This window comes from Homo sapiens, chromosome 13 (assembly GCF_000001405.40).
Source record: "Homo sapiens chromosome 13, GRCh38.p14 Primary Assembly".
Classification (NCBI taxonomy): Eukaryota; Metazoa; Chordata; class Mammalia; order Primates; family Hominidae; genus Homo; species Homo sapiens.
In genome coordinates, this window is record NC_000013.11 from 74,965,761 (window position 1) to 74,988,523 (window position 22,763).

The 22,763-nt window shown below is 37.7% G+C and overlaps 1 long non-coding RNA gene across 2 annotated transcripts in view; it reads right to left on the reverse strand.

Annotated features, from left to right (window-relative positions):
* Window positions 1-20,038: 20,038 nt before the first annotated feature.
* The window catches only part of LOC107984620 (uncharacterized), a 41,289-nt gene continuing 38,564 nt past the window's right edge, over window positions 20,039-22,763 (reverse strand). For both annotated transcript variants that reach the window (XR_001749918.1, XR_001749917.1), the window contains one exon: window positions 20,039-20,185. This is a non-coding gene — a long non-coding RNA (uncharacterized LOC107984620). The remainder of the gene's footprint in view (window positions 20,186-22,763) is intronic.

The window sequence follows — 22,763 nt, forward strand, 5'->3', positions numbered from 1 at the left end:
TATTTCTCCCAGCTTAGGAGATGGATTTCCAGTGGAGCTATTCTGATTTGAGCTCTTCTCACTGATTGGCTGCCAATGTGGATTTCATAAAAATCTCACCTTTCAAATATGCACTAAGGAGAATGGTGTGATATTAAATAGCGACCAACTGCAATAAGCAGAGCAAAATGAAACCTTTTATAAGATTCTTATTTTCTAAAGACATATAATTTCCAAGTTTCAGTTCCAAAAATACAGCCTTATTTCTTTAGCATTAGAACACGAAACCAAAAGAAAACAGCTGTTACACAACAATTGATAGAGGATACTTAGGTAAGGAGCGTAAGATAACTGAATGCCACCTCCAACTCCCTCCAACCACAATTCCATCCATGTTCTCCTCTTATGGTGAAAAAAAAAGAAAAAGAAAACAGATGAGTCTACTACCATAATTCAAGTTAACGAATGACAGCCTAAGATAATTAAAAGGACTCTTTAGCAATTTATGATAATGTACAATCATATTCTTTTCTCCTAAAAGACTTTTGCATTATTGTATTTATTTCTTATTAAGAAGAAATATCACTCGCCTTGCAACAGATGTGAAATTATCCTTATTAGATACTTTTCTTTGACATTGGTATTTTAACACTGTGATTAAACCAGATGGAAGACAACTTTTTTTTTTTTTTAAAAGGATCCGGGAGGGAAGAGGAAAGAAAACACAGCCAGGTACTTTCAGATCCTAGTTGCCATAACAACTCGAGTCAGCTTCCATCATTAAATTATTTTTTGATCATGCTTATGGATTTTTTGTATAAAAAAGAGATTCATTAATTTCATGTACTTACGTTCTATTGAAAAAATTATTCTCCTTTTGAGAACAGCTCATAGTCTATTTTATTAAACAGAAGCAGAAAAGTACTGTAAACTCCCCCTCAAAACTATAAAACACAAGGGCTCCCCAAAGAAAGCTTAGAAGCATTATATAGCACCATCACAGCCTTCTGATGATATTTTTAAAGGGTATTTTGTTTCCATGAAAATTAAGTACTTCTGGTAATTTTACAATATGAGAATTATCTGTATTTTTTCTCTGTTTCAATAGGCCAATTCAAAAATTGTTGGTGATAACACCACCAAAACATATTGCAGTAAATTGTTTTCCTTCTGTCTCTTTTGTCTATTGTTTAATCTCTGGGTCTGAACACATCTGGAAAACAGTGAAGTCAGCGGGAAGTGTGAGAAGCTGGTATCCGAGCAAGTTGCTTCCTAGCAACAGCAGCCAGGAAAAACAGACTCATTTGTCAAGTGGTCCCAATGCAGGAAGTCAGGAGGCCCTGGGGAATGATAATGGCATATTCAAAGTGCAAAATATGTTAACATTTACCCTCCCAAATTGGAATATTTGATGTCCTCTATAAACAAGGTGTCCACACTTGAAAAGGAGCCCAAAGAGCGACAATGGCCCAGTATAGAGGACTGCTTCTCACACTTCTGGGATAAAGCACTGATTTGTATGAGTGTACATGTGTGCGTGCACCCAATTCATCACAAATTGTTACTTTGTAAAACACACTAATTCAGAAAAATGAAATAAAGAAGACGTACAAAATACAAACCCAAACTTTAAGTATTACAGTCAGCTAAAATAAAATCCTCTGATTCATGGCTTAAGTGATTCTAAACACTTACCTTCAATTTCTGTCCACACCTTCCTCACAAGCCAGAAACAGTGGACCGACTGCTCCGGAGAGAAGACCTCCACACTTGAAGTAGCTCTGGTTTTGAGTGGAGCGTCTCAAACTTATGAGGATCACCTGGTGAGCCTGTTAAACACAAATCCCTGAGCCGCACCCTCAGAAAGTCTGATTGAATCAACCTGGAGGAGGGATAGAGAATTCGCTTTTCTGACAAGCTCACAGGTGTTACCAATGTAGAAGCGGCAGCACTATAGAAGGCTTGATGTACTATATGGTATCATTGCCTAATGCTCTCAGTATGGACATCCTGTTACACTAAACCATAAAAATCCTGAGAGCTGGGCAGGGATACAATTTTGCCCAGAAAGAAAGGCAGGAAGCTAAGACTTCAATTCCTCCAGTGGTTCTTCATCATTATTAATGCAAAAGGTAAATGTCATAGCTCACATCACAAAGTTTTTCAAGATCTGCCTCATTCCCCCATTGTTGTCAGTTTTTTTCTATTCTGCACACTTTCCCAATATGGAATTTATACTTCTGATACAAGGAATGACAGGTAGATAGAATCCTGAAAGCACCAGTGTTCTCATTGTTCCCATGCTTTCCTGCTTTCATTCCCTCTGCCTAGAAAGGCTTCTGCTCCCCCTCAGCCCAATTCCCTTTCCTTCTTCTTATTCATTCCACAAATACTTTTGAGCTACCAAATTAATTTTTTAGAATTTTTATATGGGGTTTAAATGGGATAATGCATTTAAAGGGCTTAGAATGGAATACAGCACATGGTAAGCACTTGATGATGATGGTGGTGATGATGACAATGATTGTGCTGACAAGGACATTGAGGTTATATGATGATTAGAGGACCTTTTGTAACTACTGACTTTTTTTTTTTTACTTTAAGTTCTGGGCGACATGTGCAGAACGTGCAGGTTTGTTACATAGGTATACATGTGCCATAGTAGTTTGCTGCACCCATCAACCTGTCATCTAGGTTTTAAGCCCTGCATGCATTAGGTATTTCTCCTAATGCTCTCCCTCCCCTTGCCCCCCAGCCCCCGACAGGCCCCGGTGTGTGATGTTCCCCTCCCTGTGTCCATGTGTTCTCATTGTTCAACTCCCACCTATGAGTGAGAACATGCGGTGTTTGGTGTTCTGTTCCTGTGTTAGTTTGCTGAGAATGATGGCTTTTAAGTCACCTCAATTCAACTATGAAACTTCACTGTAGGAACTGTGTTTTTTACAGCAATATTTCATTTCCTAATGAGGTTTCTAGGATATAGTTTGCTAAGACATTGGTAGGAACCAGAAGGGTCATAACATACAACTTTATCTAACCCTATTCTTTTTCCACTATGCCATATTGTATCTTTTTTAAAATGTCCATTTCCAGCCTCCCTATTGCAGAGTTAAGAAACACAAAGAAAGACTCTCTTTCTGTCATTTTAAATAACCCTTGGCCAAAGCAAAGCAATTACTTGTTAATTTACCTGTTGGATTATTTCAGACCTTGTAGAAGTGGCTAACATTTTTTGAGTTGTGTAAATGGAAAATGGCAGTGGCAGTGTGGAGATGTGTTACTGAGATCTCCCCTCAAGAAAGAACTTGCCTTCAGCTGCAAGAAGTACAGATTCAGGATCTGTCTCAGCTTTCAAATCAAGGCTATGGTCTTCTCAAGCAGCCCCCAGTCAATGATGAAGAATGGCAGGGTAGTAGGGTTTGACTATTTGTGCCTAGTTAGGATTCCGTTAATGGGGAGTCTTTACTATAGAGCTTCCATTGACATGTCTGAAATGTTTTCTGATCTGCATCTTGGTATGAGGCTCTTCCTCCTGCCTTGCCTTGCACAGTTGTTACTCCATGTGTGCCTCTCAATTCATCTCTGTGTCTCTTTCCTAGAGGACTCAAATAACACAGGAACATAAAAAAGCAAAATGATGCTTTTAGCTTTCTTGATGGGAAATGAAGAATTGAGTCAAACTAGGGTTTAGGTAAAACAAAGCAAAGAAAAAAAATTGGAAAAAGATAGAAGCAAGACCTGCAAAGCACTTCCCCCATTTATCTGAGATTAGACACAAAGAGGAATAATTTTGTCTCCCACCTGCTGAGACACTCCATTCTTTACCCCTCAACGTGTTGTTGTCACTACTGCCATTTGAACTTCTTTGTTTCTATCACCATTTTTCTCTATGTGTATGTTCCAGATGCTTTCAGACTTCAGGGCTAATATTCACAAGTCACTTTTCATCTTGTTTGTATTCAGAGAGTCATCATAGCTTCTGTGTGTGACTGAAGGCAATTTGAGGTGCCTTCTCAACTAGTTAACAGCTAAGAACAGGAAGATAGAGCCAAATTTTCTTTTTTACATAGAAAAAAGGCATAGCTGTGACAACATAGAAAAAGGTAAATTTATTCAAACACCTACTGATAAACTGTGAAGGAGATTTATACTAAGTCAGGGGTTCTTAGTCTCTTTGGAGTCTGAAATACCTTTGAATATGATATGAAAGCTATGAACTCAGTCCCTAGATAAAAGAGGAATTTGAATGAGGACCTTAAGGTATTTTGTTCTACTATCCTCCTTTCATTATAATCAATGTTTTCCTATTAATAATGAATGCATACTAGGATCATATTTTATGATATTAATGAATGTTTTCATTCACAGTAGTTAGTTTTATTTATTGCACTTCCATAAATAAAATGACTTTGCAATTCTGCCTCAGGGAGGGGAAGCTTTGGCAAAATAAATTAATAAATACACTATTAAATAAAATTTTATTTGGCATTTGGTTTATCAAAACCGATTCATTGACATAAATAATACATTTGGAAGAATACCTGCCTATTCAAATTTTTTCATCTTACAGCAGATAAAAATTCCTAGTGCACAGATGGGGAAATGAGAGTGTGTTTTGCTAATAGTGATACTTTTCCTTCAAAAATAATAACAGAAAGGTAATTTGTGCACTTGAATACAAGGTATAGAAATAAACAGAAAATTGAGTTAAATGTCAGAGATTCAGGGGCACTGAAATCTCTGCAGATAATGAGAATGTGATTCTATTTTGAGAAGACGTGATTCCTAATGTATGAGTTAGCTTTTGCCATGTAACAAGCTCCCCTTCCTCTTGCAATTGAGTAGTTTAAAATAATTACCATTTACATAGTTCATGATTCTGTGGGTTAGAAATGTAGACTGGGTTCTTTAGGTCTCAGCTCACCTCTCCCATGCATCTTCACTCAGCAGGAGCAGGGAAAGCAAGGGTAAGAGGTTTTGCTGATACCTCCTTCTCATACATGAGAACTTGGCTAGGAAAGCAGGGTTGATGCAGTCCTGGAGCACATAGTCTGTCATTTTCCAGCAAGCTAGCACTGGTGTGCTCAGAGGTGATCAGAATGGGACAGGAGGGGTCCCAAGAGAGATAACAAAAAGTGTGGTATGCAAAGTGTCTTTGAAACTAGTATTGAAATGAAAACCTATTATTTCCACTGTGTCTGTTGGCCAAAACAAGTCACAAAGCCAGTCCGGATTCAAGGGGATGGCAGGGTCTCTACCTTTTGATGAGAGAGCCTGCAAAGTCACATTATTAAGGTTATGGCCAGAGAACAGTAAAGGACTGTGACCATTTTTGCAATCTACATATTCAATAAAATATTTGAACTAAAATCACCTTAATGTCTCTGAATAAAATCTCATCACCATCAACCTTCATTTTACAGTGTTTCATATCACCATATTCACCCTTAAACAGATAAATAGAAAAAGTTACCTTTGGAGCCCAGTGAACACTATAGTTCTTGGAAGAAGTAACTACCTAACTATGGCATCAAGTGCCCTATTAAAGACTTGTGTCCTATGAGGTTGACTGTCAACTGACAGTTTATCTAATAGTTCCTTAAGTGCTGGCTGCAATGCCTTCCCTCCCTGATATCTACAAGGCACCTTCTATCAAAATGAAAATTCTATCCCTTCTCTGGCATTTACAGGACTTTGGTTTCATACTCTTTGGCATGAATCATATCTGCATTCATAGACTCATGGACTCATGGTTTACTGTGATCCACTACAATAGCAGATGGGCCTCTCCATGCACAAGTGCAAAGATTAGTGCAGCAATGTTAATATTTTGAGGGAGTCACAGGTACCTTTGAGAAGACAGAAACTACGAACGCTTGAAAAATATACATCACACATTGATGCAAAATTTTGTACATAATTTCAGGATGTCCATAGACCTCCTAATGCTCCTCCTTGGAGTATCTAAGAGTCTATGAACCCCATTTGAAGGATCCTGCTCTCAATTATGAAAATAAATGCTCTTATATTACAGCATTAAGCTACTTCAATCAGAGGTAGCAAGAGAGCATAAAAGAGCAGCCAAAGGTATTTTGAAGGCATAGTCACCAAGTTCTGACTTCCCAAACAATTAATGTTCAGGCATTATTTATTCTGAGACAGACAAGTCTCCAGCCTCTCTTCCCAAATGTGAAAGAACAGAAACAAACTCCTAAGCATGAATCTCACAATCAGTTACAGAATCGCCATCTGTGGTTGTGACAGCAGAAACGTCCCTTAGGCCACCCCCCTCTCTCAATTGAGAAGGTAGAACTTGATGCTCTTCGAGTAAGTAAGACACTGCTTCTATTACACTGATACATTTACAGAATAAATAAATGATATCATAGATTTGCTTCAAAATAATCCAGGGTGGGAGGAGTATATGAATAAAACAAAATTGGTCACACGCATGTAATTACTGAAGCTGAGTGATGAGAGAATAAATTCTCTCTACTTTGTTACATATTTGAATTTTCTGTAATGGAAAAATAAAGACAGAAAGGGACTTAAATGTTTATTTCAAAAGAAGTCAGGCCAGGTAAAACAGAGGAGCAGAAATGTATAACCTTCTTACCAACCATTCTAGAATGAAGGGGGTTTCTAAGTCCTTCTTTGCTCTTTTCTACATGACCACAATATCTCTTTGGTCCTCTTATTTCATTTTAAAAGTACCTTTGGCCTGACTTTTTACTCGTTCAAGGAGGTTATGAAAAATGATTTAAGAACAGTAAGACAAATGTTGACTCTTGGTTAACATAGGATATGTCACCATCAGTCACTTGGGCTCCTCCACTCTCTGCTTTAGGGTTTCTTGACCAATCAGATGGGACTCCTAAGACACGTTGCTAGGAAGCAACTCGTTCTTTGATATCAACTTCTCACACTGCCTGCTGTCCTCCCTGTTTTCTAGACTAACTCAACCTGAGCAATAAAGAACACAGATGCCAGCTGATGAACAGTGGCCAGAACGTCACAAACTTAGAGCCTCAGTTTTTTTAACTTCCAAATGAAGGAAAGTCCAAACTGATCTGCTCAACAGGATTATTTCAAACTACAAATTAAACAGTTAAATGAGGCAGTGACTATGGCAGCTGTTTGTAAATTCTAAAGGGATTTGTTTCAGACTGTGTTGATGGAGTTGCTCCAGGGGTCTCTGAGAGCATAGTGCTCCCTCTGGCCCACCCCAGCCTCCTCCAGAGGAGCTCTGTTTCAATCTTTTCTTGTATATGGGGCTCTGTGGAGAATTTCAGTTGAAAAATTGTTCTGATGCTAACAAAGATAAGGTTAAAAGTTGGGAGCTGCTTCCAGCTAAATAGTAGTTATGAGAAAAAAATCCCTGAAATCACGAATCTTGTCAATGGAAAAATACAATTTGATTTGACATATAGGTTCTGTCTATTTGCTATTTTATAGGTACATATATGCATATATTTAACAAAAAAAAGTCTTTTAGGAATGCATCTATTAAAGAAAGCAGGGTAGATTACAATGTCTCAGAAGAGGGGATGCATGCAATGGAAACAGCAGCATTCTGGAACCAGAATAAGAATCAGATAACCTGGGTTTGAATCCTGACACCACCTTTTAGTACTGGTATGATTTTGAATAAACAGTTTTATGGGTTTGTTCACAGTTTCTTCAACTGCGACCTGTTTAAAATAATGTTTGTCATGTTGCAAAGGTTACATAAAAATTTTAAATGCCTGGTACTCCTATCAGAGACTCTAAGAAAAAAAAAATCTCTACTAGGATAACTTTGCTTCCCCTGAGAAACTGTGATACTTCTTTTTTTAAGAGAAGAATTATGTAGCCATGCTTTTCTTCCATTTTGCTTCACCTGCTAAAAAATTCAGAGCCAATTTGGGGCTCAACTGTAAGAACTGGGCTGACCCTGATACTCTGTGAATGTGTGTTCTTCCTTTCCCTGGTATTGAATTTCCAGCTTCATTTAAAATTTCCCTGATCTTTATTTTAATTACCTTTTTTAACATGTGTGTTCTCATCTAAGCTGTTCTCAATTCTTTGTGGAGAGAAGTAGTAGAGTTGAGAGGAAGATGCAGGGAAGGGAGGAAGAGGAAGGAGAAGATTTGAGGAGAATGGATAAGAGAATGAATCTAATATTTTTTTCCATAAATGCTCACAGGCAGTTGTAAAAAGAAAAACATAATATTCTCTATCTAGTTGATCATAGCTTCTGGGAACTGCTGTATTGGGATGTTTAATTAATAACACTTTATATCTGCAGTATACCATTGCTTTCCCAAGTCGCTGTGTCTGTGATGTGAGAGTGTCACAGACAACACAGTCTTGTTACAGAGTGTCTTTTCTGGCAATTTCAAGAAGGCACCAGCAAGGACTGAGAAGCACACAGTCTCTCCTCTTCTCTCTCTCTCAATCTCTCTCTCTCTTTTATTACAGTTTGGGTTAAATATAATACACTGGAGCCTTGCTATAACAACCAGTCTTTGCCACCAGCCACATAATTTATTTATGTACCTAGAAATATTCCTGTAAAATATCTATGTACTATAGATGGATAGATAAATGGTAACTGATAGCTGAAAGAAAAATAGTCTAGACCTCAGAGGAATCTAATAATTCAAACTTACTACAGACAGCCTGAAGATAGTTAACATACATAGTATTGATTATGTCAAGATTTAGTACTCTGGAAAAACCTCATAAAACACAACATTTTGCTATCACAGGGGTTTGAGAGACAGAGGCAATTAAAATGCAAGAAACACCGGTCTTGTTCATATGGAATTTTACAAATATTTCCAGGAATAATTTCATTGTCTCCCAAGAATAGATGTTTGGTTACAAATCTATCTTCTGAAAAACCAAAGAACACCTTTTGTTCATTAAAAAACAAAACAAAACGAAAAAAAAGGTGTCCCCTGAGAGCAGTATGCTCAGGGCTTACCCCCTCTGGTGTTTATGTTATAGCCCAAATGCATTCCCATTGAAGAAGGTGTCAGCTGTCATGCCATGTGACACCTCTAACTGAAAGGGTGCTTTGGCATTTCTGTAGACAAATTGTTCGTACACAGAAAGACGGGATGTTACTGTGAAGCATGATGATTATAAATGGACACCACACATTCTATCAGTTTTTCGCTGCTTATTTCTCCTTACTCTATTCTGTACCTAGGTGATCTCACTTTTTTCCAACTCTTCAAATATTGCTGATCTGCTACAGCTTCCAAAGTTACAGCTTTATCCTTGATTGTTTCTCTCTTGAGCCCCCTAGAATTTCAAGGCTTCCAGAGAATACTCCATTTGGGTGTCCTGATGGCATGACAAATTAAATTTTTAGAAGACAAATTCCTCCTCCTCCTCGTCCTTCCTGTACTCCATCCCCAACTCCTCCATTAGGTAATTCATGTTCAGAAATTACTCTTCCACTCCCTGCCTCATTGCTTTCAATGAATCAGCCTGGCTGCCCTGCAGACTTGCGTATGCATGGAAGAAGTTGATGGGATGGTCAGAATTGACTCAAGATATGAGATCTCACCCTACAGCTCTCACACAGTTTTTTTTACAACCTCCTCTCTGCTTGAAAAGCTCTCTGCCCATGCCTTTATCACAGATCTTAGCTCATCAATGTGTAACTAGTTGATTTATGTCTCTCCATTTTTGGTATTTGAACACCTCAAGGGTACAGAAAATGTAATCCAGATTTTTAGAGTATGTTTCTGAATAGGCTCCACTTAATTCATTTGGAAAATAGTCATTAAGCATCTACTGTGTGCTATGTGCTAAAGATACAATTGTAAAGATGACAGAACTGTCCCTCAAGCAGCTAGGGACCACAGACCAGAAGGGCAAAATGCTGTTATAGTGTAAGTTCAGACACCATATATAAAAGCACATGCAAAAGTGTTTAATCACCAGGAAGACAGAATGAAAAACAAGGCAGAGACTAAGGAGAGACAAGCTAAGTGCTTAAAGCACGACATTTAAGGAGACATAAACTCTTAGAGCCATGCAAGTGTAGGGTGAGCACCTGAGATGAGCACATCCTTAAATCTTGTTTCCTAGGCACCTCATCCTAGCCCTGGCCCTGATGGAAAACTTATAACTTGCCCATATATACTAAGAGTCATTTGTAAAACTATCCCAGTGAAGATTGGTAGAGCCTTAGGGACCAGGATCCTCTCTAATGGGAAATTAAATACTTTATGGGATGTGAACAGACTCTCTTTTATTAAAGGGAGCACTTGGGAGATTAAGCATAATTACTTTAGATAGGTTGGTAAGTAAAACCACCACAAATCCAAGAATGATAAAAATTAGAGTAAAACATGTGCTTACACAGTTCCAGTAAGGGTACACATTTGAAAGAGAGATGGTATAGAATAGTGGTTAGGGCAACGGCCTGTAGTGCTCTTTTACTAGCTACCTTTCTATTCCTTAGCAGTTTCCTCATCTGGAAAATGGCAATAATAACTCCCTATTTTATAGGTTTGCTGCAGAGATCAATTAATTAAATTTTATAGGATTGTGGCAAAGAGTTAATCTATGTAAAGAGCTTAGAAAAGTGCCAGGCACACTGTGAACATCCAATGAATGTTAACTTGTCTTATTATTCTTTCATTCCTCTAACTCTTCTTAGTGTGTACTCCTATAAAGAACAATAGTTAGAATTTTAAGGACTCTTGATTTGCTATCTGAGGGCATCTTGAGGAATTAGGTGAGATATTTATACAACTGCCCTCAGGATATCCTGCAAAGATACCTTCAACTAGCATGTTTCTCAGTTATCCTCTTCTCCTTTCTCAACCTTCCATTCTGGAGTTTCCTATCATAATGAATGACAATAAGATTTATTTGTTTTTATTTACATTACCCAGTTTTAATCCTCTACTTTGCAACTGGTATCTATTTATTATATGTGTGTGCATATGTGTGTATGTGTGAGTGTGTTTAGCAATTTGCCTCTCAATGAAAATGTAAACTCCCATGAGGTCACAGTCTTGTTCGTGCTGTATTGCCTACACTTAGTACAACAGCAGGCACTCAAATATTTTTAAACAAATGATCAAATGAGTTCATGAATTTTCAACTTCTCTCATTCCTTGCCTCTTACTCTACATTAACTGATATAAATCCTGTCAATTCAATCTCCTGAATATCATTCACACTTGGTTCTGTCCACACCACCACCACTGTATCTCAAGCCATCATCATCTTCCACCGGTATTACTAGAACGATATATTGCCTGTTCCCCTTCCTCAAGTCTCCCATTTCTCCAAAACAGTCTTCTTAGTGCAATCTGAGTGCTGTAGTGCTCTTACTAACATGAAAATCAACCACATTCTTCCACTGCTTACAGCACTTCAAAGCAATCCAAAAAGCTCGTGTGCTGGATTATTCTATTTGTATAATATTCTAAAAATAAATTACAAAACTAAAAAGAATGAGAACAGATTTAGTGGATTCCAGAGGACAGAGATGGGGTGGTGCAACTGAAAGGGAGCAACCTAAAAGATTTCCTTCATGGTAATGAAATAGTTCTGCATCTTGATTGATTAGTGGTCCCATGGATGTATACATGGAATCAAATTTCATAGAACTGCAAACACACACACACACACACACACACACACACACACACACACACCATTAGTGATTTAAAAACAGGTCAAATAAGATCTATAGTCTAGTTAACAGCATTGTATCGATGTCAGTTTCCTGGTTTTGATATTGTGCTATAGTTACATGGGATGTCACCATTGGAGGAAGCTGGGTGAAGTTTATGGCCTCTGTGCACTATTTTTGCAATATCCTATAATTTTCTTTAATTCTAAAAAAAAAAATTTCAAAGAATCATCATTGCCCTTAAGGAAAAACAAATCCAGCCGCATCATCCTGATTCACAAGACTGAAGAGCCTGACCTCAGATTGCATCTAAAGCTTCATTGTTTGCCACTCATGTGATTTGGTTGTAAGTGGGCCAGTGAATCCTAATTCATTTTATCCTGTTGTTTTATTCATTTAAAGATCTAAAATAGTTTTAAATGAATATTTAAAAACAAAAATAAATACCATGCCTTATATTCTTGGTGGATGCATCATCAGTTAGCTATCATAGCATAACAAACTACCCAAAACTCAGAATCTTAAAAGAACAGTCTTATATTATCACTCAGGTCATTGTGTCACCTGGGCTCGCTTATGCATCTATGGTCAGCTGTGGATCACTCTTTGCTAGCCACTGTTCAGCTAGCTATAGGCATTTCTAAAATGGCCTTAGCTGAAACAACTAAGCCCTTCCACATGGTGTCTAATCCTCGGCAGACTATTCACACAGCTGTAGCAAGGTTCCAAGAGAAGAAGGAAGTGCTCGAAGCCAGAATGGTGTGTGGTCACTTTCACCAAGTTCTTTGGCCAAAGTATGTTAAAAAGCCAATCTGTATTCAGGAGGTAGAAAAATGGAAGCCATCTCTTGGGAGGAACCACAAAATCACATTGCAAAAGATGTGGACACAGTGTGAAAAATTGGGGCAACAACTACTAAAATCCTCTAAGTCATCAAAACGTGAATAATGTACTTCCCACTATAATACAAAATGCTAAGGTTCTGAATGAAATCACAAACGTATTTCTAACCTGAATTCAATATATTGAAAGACTGCATGATAAGGAGCAATGGAAAATTACCATCATTTACAGACAAATAAATGTTCTTCATCCTGCTAAGCTTCCGCACTTGGCAAATCTTTAAAAATCTGGTGCTTTCTTCCTTCAGCCCTCTTCTAGATTTAGTTTCTTTTTTATTTCTTGTTCAGTTTCAGTCTTACTGAAGCAGCTTAGCATTCAATCTGCAGCCACCTACTCCCAGGGAGAGCCATTGTTTAATATTAATGTTCACCTAAATTGAAGCAACGCCCTGCTGCCTTCACAGCCATTCAAGGAGAAATTCTCACCCTCAGAGAGAGGTAGGTAAGGATGACGTTGCTGCCCTCATTTTGTCCTTAGGGTGCAGCAGACCGAAGAGGGAACTGCCAGATGGAGGTGGGGAATTTGATTCTGCTGCCTGAGTCAATGTGAATTGCAAAACTCTAATCATCTGTGTGGGCAGGAAGTCACCTAGGCACTTCAGCTGGTGGGCGCCCATGTGAAAGGGAGATAATTATCAATGTCACTTCTAAGACACGAAGGTCCTATGGAAAGAAATAGATTCTACTAGCATATTGCACGGAGCCTATTGAAGTGCAGACAGTGATTTGTAAAATGTTATGGGAGCAGTAGAGCAGGCTTAAATGAAATTCAGCGGCAGGCAATTAGTTGATAAAATAACTATTTTCTTGTGCTTTGGACTCTATGAAGTAACATGACTTTAAATTTTGGATGACAAGTCATTTCTGTGTATTAAAATGAAAATGCTACTTTTCCCAAGTAGCATTTACTCTGTGAACTTCTTTATATCAATGTTACAGGTAAAGAGAGAAAAAGAATAAAGTGTGCCTGCTTGCTTACCCGCCTGACACAATGTTCTGGGAAAGGAAACAATGTTCTCTCCCTAAAAAGTCTCTTTCCAGGATCAACTTCAGCTGCAAATAAAGTAAGAAAAATTGTGGATTATATAAAGTCAAGTCTACTAGGACTAACGTTTGTCTTTGTTCCCATCTATATTCTTCAATGGTAATTTTTTTTTCATCTTGACTAAAGATAGACTTGCGGCAACTAGCACAGTTTTCATTATCTATACAATCATCAAAGCTATCAATACTGCTATATTTAAGCATATCAAAAATTTATTTATGTGGAAAACAGAAGCCATATTTTACCTTGGTATCTAGATCTCTTTTGGTAGAGGAAGAAGGTGCATTTTTTCATATCTTGATAAGATTTCAATACTCAAATCGTGATAAAATCTCAACTACTACTCTTATACTTCCAAGCGTTAGTACATAAGTATTATACAAAATGCCAGGAACTCAGTAAATGGAGACATTATACAAATAAATGGATTTAGGATTATGGACTGCTTCTCAGTGTTTTGTTAGGCTTGACACATGACAGACACACCGGATTGTTCAAAGAAGGGCAGGATGTAATTTATGGGCCAGCCTATGTTGTGGCATATGGACATCTTGTTCCTGTTAAATGAGTCAAGCTAGACACAAAAATCTCTTGTAAATATGCATGGGTGATGCAGCTCCTGATAAATAGTTCAACAGGATCTGAGGCAGTTTATTACCCTAAACTCTTATACTTCCAAGCGTTAGTACATAGGTATCATACAAAATGCCAGGAACTCAGTAAATGGAGACATTATACAAATAAATGGATTTAGGATTATGGACTGCTTCTCAGTGTTTAGTTAGTCCAACAGGATCTGAGGCAGTTTAGGGTAATAAATTTCCTCAGATCCTGTTGGACTATTTACTGGGAGCTAGGGTAATACAATTGCACAAAAACAGCTCTATATATCATAGCAAATATCAGTAGTTTATAATTTTCAAAGCATTTTTTATTAAGGTAGAAAATCTTTGCAATAGCCCAATGAGGTAGATGATGAGTTAATTGTAGGTACCTGAGGTTCAAAAGATTGAGGTTGCCCCTGCCAGACCCCTCAGTTTGCAAATAAGTGGTTAAGCCATGATCCCAAACTTGGTTTTCTTTCCAAATTTAGTTTTCTTTCTACTGATATCATCCTGGTAAAATAAGAAAAACAAAATTCAGCCCTTCCCTCCCCACCCACAACCCTCTAAGAAGCAGTTGAAAATTTAAAATGGTATTAAAATTAAATGGAATTGACTGGGTTAAAAGGCAAAGTTCATTGTAACAGAAATGTTTGCCTAGTTATTTTTATTTTTATTTTTATTTTGAGACGGAGTCTCGCTCTGTCGCCCAGGCTGGAGTGCAGTGGCGCGATCTTGGCTCACTGCAAGCTCCGCCTCCTGGGTTCACGCCATTCTCCTGCCTCAGCCTCCCGAGTAGCTGTGACTACAGGCGCCCGCCACCACACCTGACTAATTTTTTGTATTTTTCATAGAGATGGGGTTTCACCGTATTAGCCAGGATGGTCTCGATCTCCTGACCTCGTGATCTGCCCACCTCGGCCTCCCAAAGTGCTGGGATTACAGGCGTGAGCCACCACGCCCGGCCTGTCTAGTTATTTTTAATTGTCACTAACATCCTTTGAGGCAAGGAGGATAAGGAATATGTCCCACATGACAAGGGAGGAAACAGTCCTGCTGGTGAAGCACTGTGACACTTTGGCGACTTTGACGCCACTCTGCTCTTCTTGCCAATTCAGGACTAGGAGGCATCCTATCCTGCCTTTCACCATAGAGCAAACCCCAGAGAGTGCTGGGGTGAATTTCTCTGGAAATGAGATCCCAGGACTGTGTTGTATAGGTTGTAACTCTGAAAGTGATACGTGCTGCCTAAAAGGGCCAGCTTTCAACTCTCCACTTCTAAAAATACTCCTCCTAATAGAGAAATTTAACTGAAGTCCAAACCTTCCATTCCACAATGAAAGAACCTGCAGCTAATAGCTCGCTGGAGTTCATTTACCCATTGAGGTTGAGTTTCTGGCACTTTCTAGAGCTCTTTGGGTATAGGCATCTCTCCCATGTCTCACAGATTTGGGTGGAGATAAAGTGAAATAGTCAAGTGCCTGACTTTATATACCAAGATTAGGTACCCCATAAGTGTTTACTCCCTTCTCTTCCGATTCCACTCAACTGTTCCTTGCTACTCCTCTCTTGAAAATACTCTCTAGCCTGGGGGCCACTCACTGATACCTAAACTCTTCAGGAACATACCTCATAGCCTTTGCCCATGCTGGTCGATACACCTGCAATGTCCTTCTTCCTGCCTCTGCTTGGAAATGTAAGTCCTGTCTCTCACATTCTGTATGAAGTTTTTAGAAGCTTCTCCCATTATAAGCACAAACCCCCAGCCCCTAGCCTTCCTCCACTGGTCACATCCTGAGAGAAGTGCATCGTGTTGGTTAATCACATATCCGCCTGTAAAGAAGTTCTGAGCTCAATAAGTATTTATTGGATTAAATTTAGGCGAAGTCATCAAGTAGGCTAAGAGTTACCTGAGGAGAGAAAGACAAAACAAGGGAATGGTGGAAAAAACAAAAAAAAAAATTTAATCTACTTAAACCATTGTCTTGAGCCATGTCTAAATGCATATTTGGACCCATTTTCATAAATTTCTATAAAGTCCTTGTTTCCATGACAGAGTGAAATAGCCACACACAGTAAGAAATATGGCTTCTGTTAAGTATTTGCCGTAAGTGCTTTGACTAGGATGCTTAAAGTTATCTGGGTGGCCCAGGAAATACATTTTTATTTGATTTCGAGAAAAAATAATTTTAGGAGGGTCAATGTGTTTTATTTTCCTTTGTTTCATCTGTTGGATGTTTAGTTTTGCTGTTTGCTTTTTCTAGGCAAAGAATGGCAAACACAAATACTTCTTAGACCAACTATTCTGGATTATATTATCTCTGATATTCTCTAAGTACTGTCATAACTACTGGCTATCAGGGACACAGAATTGAGGCAAGGCTCCTGATAAATATTCCATCAGGATCTGAGGCAGCTTAGGGTAATGTTTAAATATATGGGCTTTGGAGCTCATACCATCTGGTTCAAAACTTAGCACAATATTTATAAAGTGTTTGACCTTGAGCCTCTTTACGCCTCAATTTTCTCATATGTAAAATGGGATGATAATGGTACCTAATTCATAAGCCCATTGTGAGGATTAAAAGAGTTATTACATGTAAAGCACATAAAACAATGTTTGGCATGTAATAAGTACCATAGAATTATTCACTATTATTAGAAAAATATAATGGTTTAAATCAGATGTCCTAGATAATGCAATACATACGGTAACCAAATCAGTTATCCATTGCTATGTAACAAACCACCCAATACTAGTGACTTAAAACAATTATTTGTTTTATTTGCATGGTTCTGGAGCTGACTGGGCTTAGCTAGGTGGTTCTTGCTAAAGTTCTCCCATGTGGTTGCAGTCAGACACTGGATGATACTGGAGTCATCTCAATGGCTTCCTCACTAATAGGTCATGCAGAAAATCCATGTCAGCTAGGACTTCTGCTGGGGCTGAATACCTATGTGTGGCTTTTCCATGTGGCCTGAGCCACCTCATAGTATGGTGACCAGATTCCAAGGGCAAGCCTCCTGAGAGAGCCAGAGGAATGCCATCTTGCTTTTTTTTTTTTGGTCCAATTATTATTATTATTATTATTATTATTATTATTATTATTATTATATTATACTTTAAGTTCTAGGGTACATGTGCACAATGTGCAGGTTTGTTACATATGTATACATGTGCCGTGTTGGTTTGCTGCACCAATTAACTGGTCATTTACATTAGGTATTATCTCCTAATGCTATCCCTCCCCCCTCCCCCCTCCCCCCACCCCACAACAGGCCCCAGTGTGTGATGTTCCCCACCCTGTGTCTAAGTGTTCTCATTGTTCACTTCCCACCTATGAGTGAGAACATTCAGTGTTTGATTTTCTGTCCTTGTGATAGTTTGCTCAGAATGTTGGCTTCCAGCTTCATCCATGTCACTACAAAGGACATGAACTCATCCATTTTTATGGCTGCATAGTATTCCATGGTGTATATGTGCCACATTTTCTTAATCCAGTCTATCATTGATGGACATTTGGGTTGGTTCCCAGTCTTTGCTATTGTGAATAGTGCCGCAATAAACATATGTGTGCATGTGTCTTTGTAGTAGCATTATTTATAATCCTTTGGGTATATACCCAGTAATCGGATGGCTGGGTCAAATGATATTTCTATGATGTAGTCTCAGAAAGTCAGATGGTGTTACTTCCACCAGATTCTATTGAGCCAGGTAGTCCCATCTTAAGGGAAGGTGACATAGACTCCAGCTGTTAATAGGGGATGGCAAGGTCACATTGTAAGAAGATTGGGTGGGATGGAAAGTATTGTCTGGCCATCTTTTGGAACTACAACCTGCCACAGTCAACTATGCACATAGTAAGCATTCACCAAGTACTGTGGAATGGCAAAGACTACAGAGTCTTTGGTAAGATTTTTTTTTTACTGTAAGACAAAGAAAACAGCTCAAACTAGTTAAACAAACCAAAAAGTAATTTTTAGAAATTTTTCTAAAATTTTTCTAAAATTTTTCTGTGTCTTCTCACAGAACCCTGGGGAAGTTAGGTCTCTTGAGGGACAGTTTCCAGGAACTGTATCTCACCACCTCCACAACTATCATTTTCATCCTAGCCACCATCATCTTTTACCTGGGTTGTTGCCATGTCCTAACAGCTCTCCCCATTTCTTCCCTCTGGTCCCTACAGTCTATTCTCCACATGGCTACTTGGGATCCCTTCAATTTGTAAGTTGGATTCTATCACCTATTTGCTCCAAACCTCCAAACCTTGCAGAATGCTCCCATCAAATTCAGACAAACCTCCAAAGACCTTACCTTGGCCCTCAAGGCCCTCTATGATCTTTCTTTTGGTGTCTGTTTGCCACCATCACCTGCCATGCTTGTCTTTGAATCCCCTACTCTCACCTCTTCCTTGAACATCCAAGCATGTCCCACCTTGAGGCCTTTGCTATTGCTGTTCACTCTGCCTGGATCACCATTTTTTCCCCGATGTCAGCATGGGTCTCTGTGTTAGTCCATTCTCACACTGCTATAAAGAAATACCTGAGACTGAGTAATTTATAAAGAAAAGAGGTTTAATTGGCTCATGGTTCTGTGGCTGTACATGAAACATGATGCTAGCACCTGCTCAGCTTTAGGGGAAGCCTCAGAAAACTTACAACCATGGCGAAAGGCAAAGAGGGAGCCGGCACTTCACGGGCTGGTCCAGGAGGAAGCGAGAGAACAGGGGAGGTGCTACACACTTTCCAACAACCAGATCTCATGAGAACTCACTCACTATCACAAGGACAGTACGAAGAGGGACGGAGCTAAACCATTCATGAGAAATCTTCTCCTATGATCCAGTCACCTCCCACCAGATCCCATCTCCAGCATTGGGGATTACAATTTAACAAGAGATTTGGTGGGAACACAGATCCAAACCATATCAGTTCCCCCCTTTATTCTTTCCAGACTTTATTCAGGTATCTCCTCTCAGGGAGAGTTTCTCTGACCCATCATTTCCAAAGTAGCATGTATCTCAACGCCTCCTGAAAGACAGATTTGTTTTATAGCCCCAATAATGAATTCCAAAAGGAAGGAAACTGACTGGCTCATCAGAGCTTGAGTATCCATCACGGTCCATCCGTTACATCTTGGTTGGGATGTTAGGGTTGTCACACAGTAAAAGGACAGACCTGCTAAAACTAAGTCTTACGCAGGGAACAGTTCTCAAGGACAAGGGGCGCTGGGAACTGTGAAATTATGCCAGCAAGTCTAATGGAGTTGAGAAAGAGGCGATCATAGCTCTGCTACTAACTCCTCGGGTGACCTTAGGCAAGTTAAAAGTATGGGACTCAGCTTCTCCTATCAAATGATGATAATATTATCTGCTACAATTACTTGCAAGGAGATCACTAAAATGAAAAGATAAGTCAGGATAAGGTCTTAGATGTGCTTTAAAATATTTCAGTCCCAAACAAAAGATAGATGATGCAAGTGTGAAAAATCCGGATTACCTGAGTGATAGGTATATGCTGTTCATTATACTGTTTTCTGAACTTTTGTATTTGTTCAAAAACTTGCATAATAAAAAATATGAACTACTTCATAAAGATAAGGAACAAATACCACAGTAATAAGTAGAATCTATATACTGATAGTCCCATGATTTAGCCTTTTTATTTGCTTTTGTTTATTGGGATTATATTATAGTTGTCTTCTTTTATTCTGTTTCTAAAATAACCCAAATTTGAAAATTACTTGCCACCATTATCATGACAACAATGGTGCTTTTAAAATGTAAATTCTGTGGGTTTTTTTTTTTTTTTTTTTTTTTGAAGATTTTGGTATGATTGGAAACTTCACAACATTCTGAAAATAACTTTAAATAAAATCTTAAGGAATAGGGACGCAATTTATGGGCATTTCCATGGTAAAGGTCCAGGCCACATCTCAGGTCTCATTTCTACTTTGTGTCACATTCCTTTGGTGGCTGTCACATCACCAATTCTATCATCAAGAGTGGCTCTGAAAAAAAATAAACAAATAACTCTTTTTATCACTCCTCCTCAAAACTAACATATCCAGACCTTTACATTCCAATGATTTCACTGCTGATCATCATAGGAAATACATAAGATGACAAACATAACCAAAATAAATTACAAACATTACAGTATCTTACTAATTCATGGTCCACAGATTGATTGCTGAGATGATTAATAAGATCTCCATTGAATTTCCACCCACAGCTTTCATGCCTGACAATGAAACTCACAAAACCTGTCTTTTCTTCTTCCTCTCAACTTCCAGGCCAAAGATTCTGCTCCCTGAAAGAACCCAGTGTATTAGTCTCAATGTTTGTTTGCATCTCTCAAGACCTCCAGATCTACTTAGAGCAACTTCCCTGGGCTTTTGCCCTACAAAGCAACCCCTTTAAAGAATTCTCAAAACAGATTATATAATTATCAAAATCTGTCCTGGACACTTTACACATCTATCTAAACCCCTTGATTCTGCCCAATTTATTTAAAGTGCAGAAATTTTCATTTTAAAGTACCTAAAAAGTTTTATTATTTTCAGTTTTAAACCAGTAAGTATTATCCAAATTTGAGAATTCAGGATATCATCAAGTATAAACATAAGAAAGCTTGCACATGAGTGATGTTCAACAAAACCTTGGAGCAGACAGGGTTGGGGACAGGATTCTGCTATAGGATTTCCAGGGCTGACTAACAAGTCACCTCTAATAACTGGCTGTGAACAGTATGCCTGGTTGCTGGTCAACAGAAAGTACTTGTTGCACTGCAGAACACTGAAAATATAGGACGTATTCAGTGACAATTCCTCAAAGGACAACATTGTTAAAAACCAGGATGTGGTCCCAAATCAGGTTTTACAGGCGTCCCCCTGGAGTTTTCATGAACCACACTAACCCATTAAACCTTGGAAGTCAATAGGCCCCTTGGAACTAGTTTAATTATATAGTAACAGATTGTAAAATTAAGTGTTCTATTCCCAGCACTTTCCCATTTAACTTAAATGCATTCCTCAGGGAGGGAGGGGGGAAGCAAAGATCTATAAATGGAATGGAAGTGGGGGATTTGTAAAATCATTTTATAGCTTGAGAGAAATATCAACTCCAATAATCCCTCCGCATATTCAGTCGTAGTTGACATGTACGGAAAAGCAAAGGGCAGAATTCTCTATCTTTTCACCTGAGTAAATCTACCTTTTTAGAATATGGAGAGTAATTACTGTAGCTCCTCTGATGATTTACAATCATCTGATGATTACAACAATAATTTGAATTTTGTTCAATTCTACTTTTTCTGTTTGCCACCACTCAAGTGGGGGTCCTCTGCCTTACCTCTGGTAGAAATGAATAATGTCAGTGGCTACTATAGAAATGCTGAGTGGTAGATTTTTAAATGGCATAAATTAATACTAAGCTTCTATTTGTTAATCTGATTTAGAAAACTGTCAAATCCAGAAGTGCTGTTTTTCCCTATTGTTTTACAAGTCTGTACCCAGGTGTTTGGATGAGATCATGATGTCACATCACTCAAGAGAACTGACTGGCACTGCCATCTGGCTGCTCCTGGATTAGTCATGTCTCACCAAGCAGGTCACAATTTCATTTGTTTTATAACTGAAATAAAAGTCATTAACATTTGAGCAGAACATGTATATATGTATATATAATGTATATATGTATAATATAAATGTATATATATATTTATGCATTTTATATACATACTTATATGTGTATATATACATATATACCTAATGTGTATATATGTATATATACATATATACCTAATGTGTATATATATGTATATATACATATATACCTAATGTGTATATATATGTATATATACATATATACCTAATGTGTATATATATGTATATATACATATATACCTAATGTGTATATATATGTATATATACATATATACCTAATGTGTATATATATGTATATATACATATATACCTAATGTGTATATATATGTATATATACATATATACCTAATGTGTATATATGTATATATACATATATACCTAATGTGTATATATGTATATATACATATATACCTAATGTGTATATATATGTATATATACATATATACCTAATGTGTATATATATGTATATATACATATATACCTAATGTGTATATATATGTATATATACATATATACCTAATGTGTATATATATGTATATATACATATATACCTAATGTGTATATATGTATATATACATATATACCTAATGTGTATATATATGTATACATACATATATACCTAATGTGTATATATGTATATATACATATATACCTAATGTGTATATATGTATATATACATATATACCTAATGTGTATATATGTATATATACATATATACCTAATGTGTATATATATGTATATATACACATATAAGTATATACATAAAATGCAGAAATATAGGTGTATATGTAACCTGTAATGTATCCATCAGAACCCAAGGAAAGCTTTCATTAAGAAAAAGATTTGGGAGATAGTTAGTTACAATTGGACACACTTAAATTGTTTCTCTTAGAAATATGTATTCCTTGTTATTTTTTTTAAT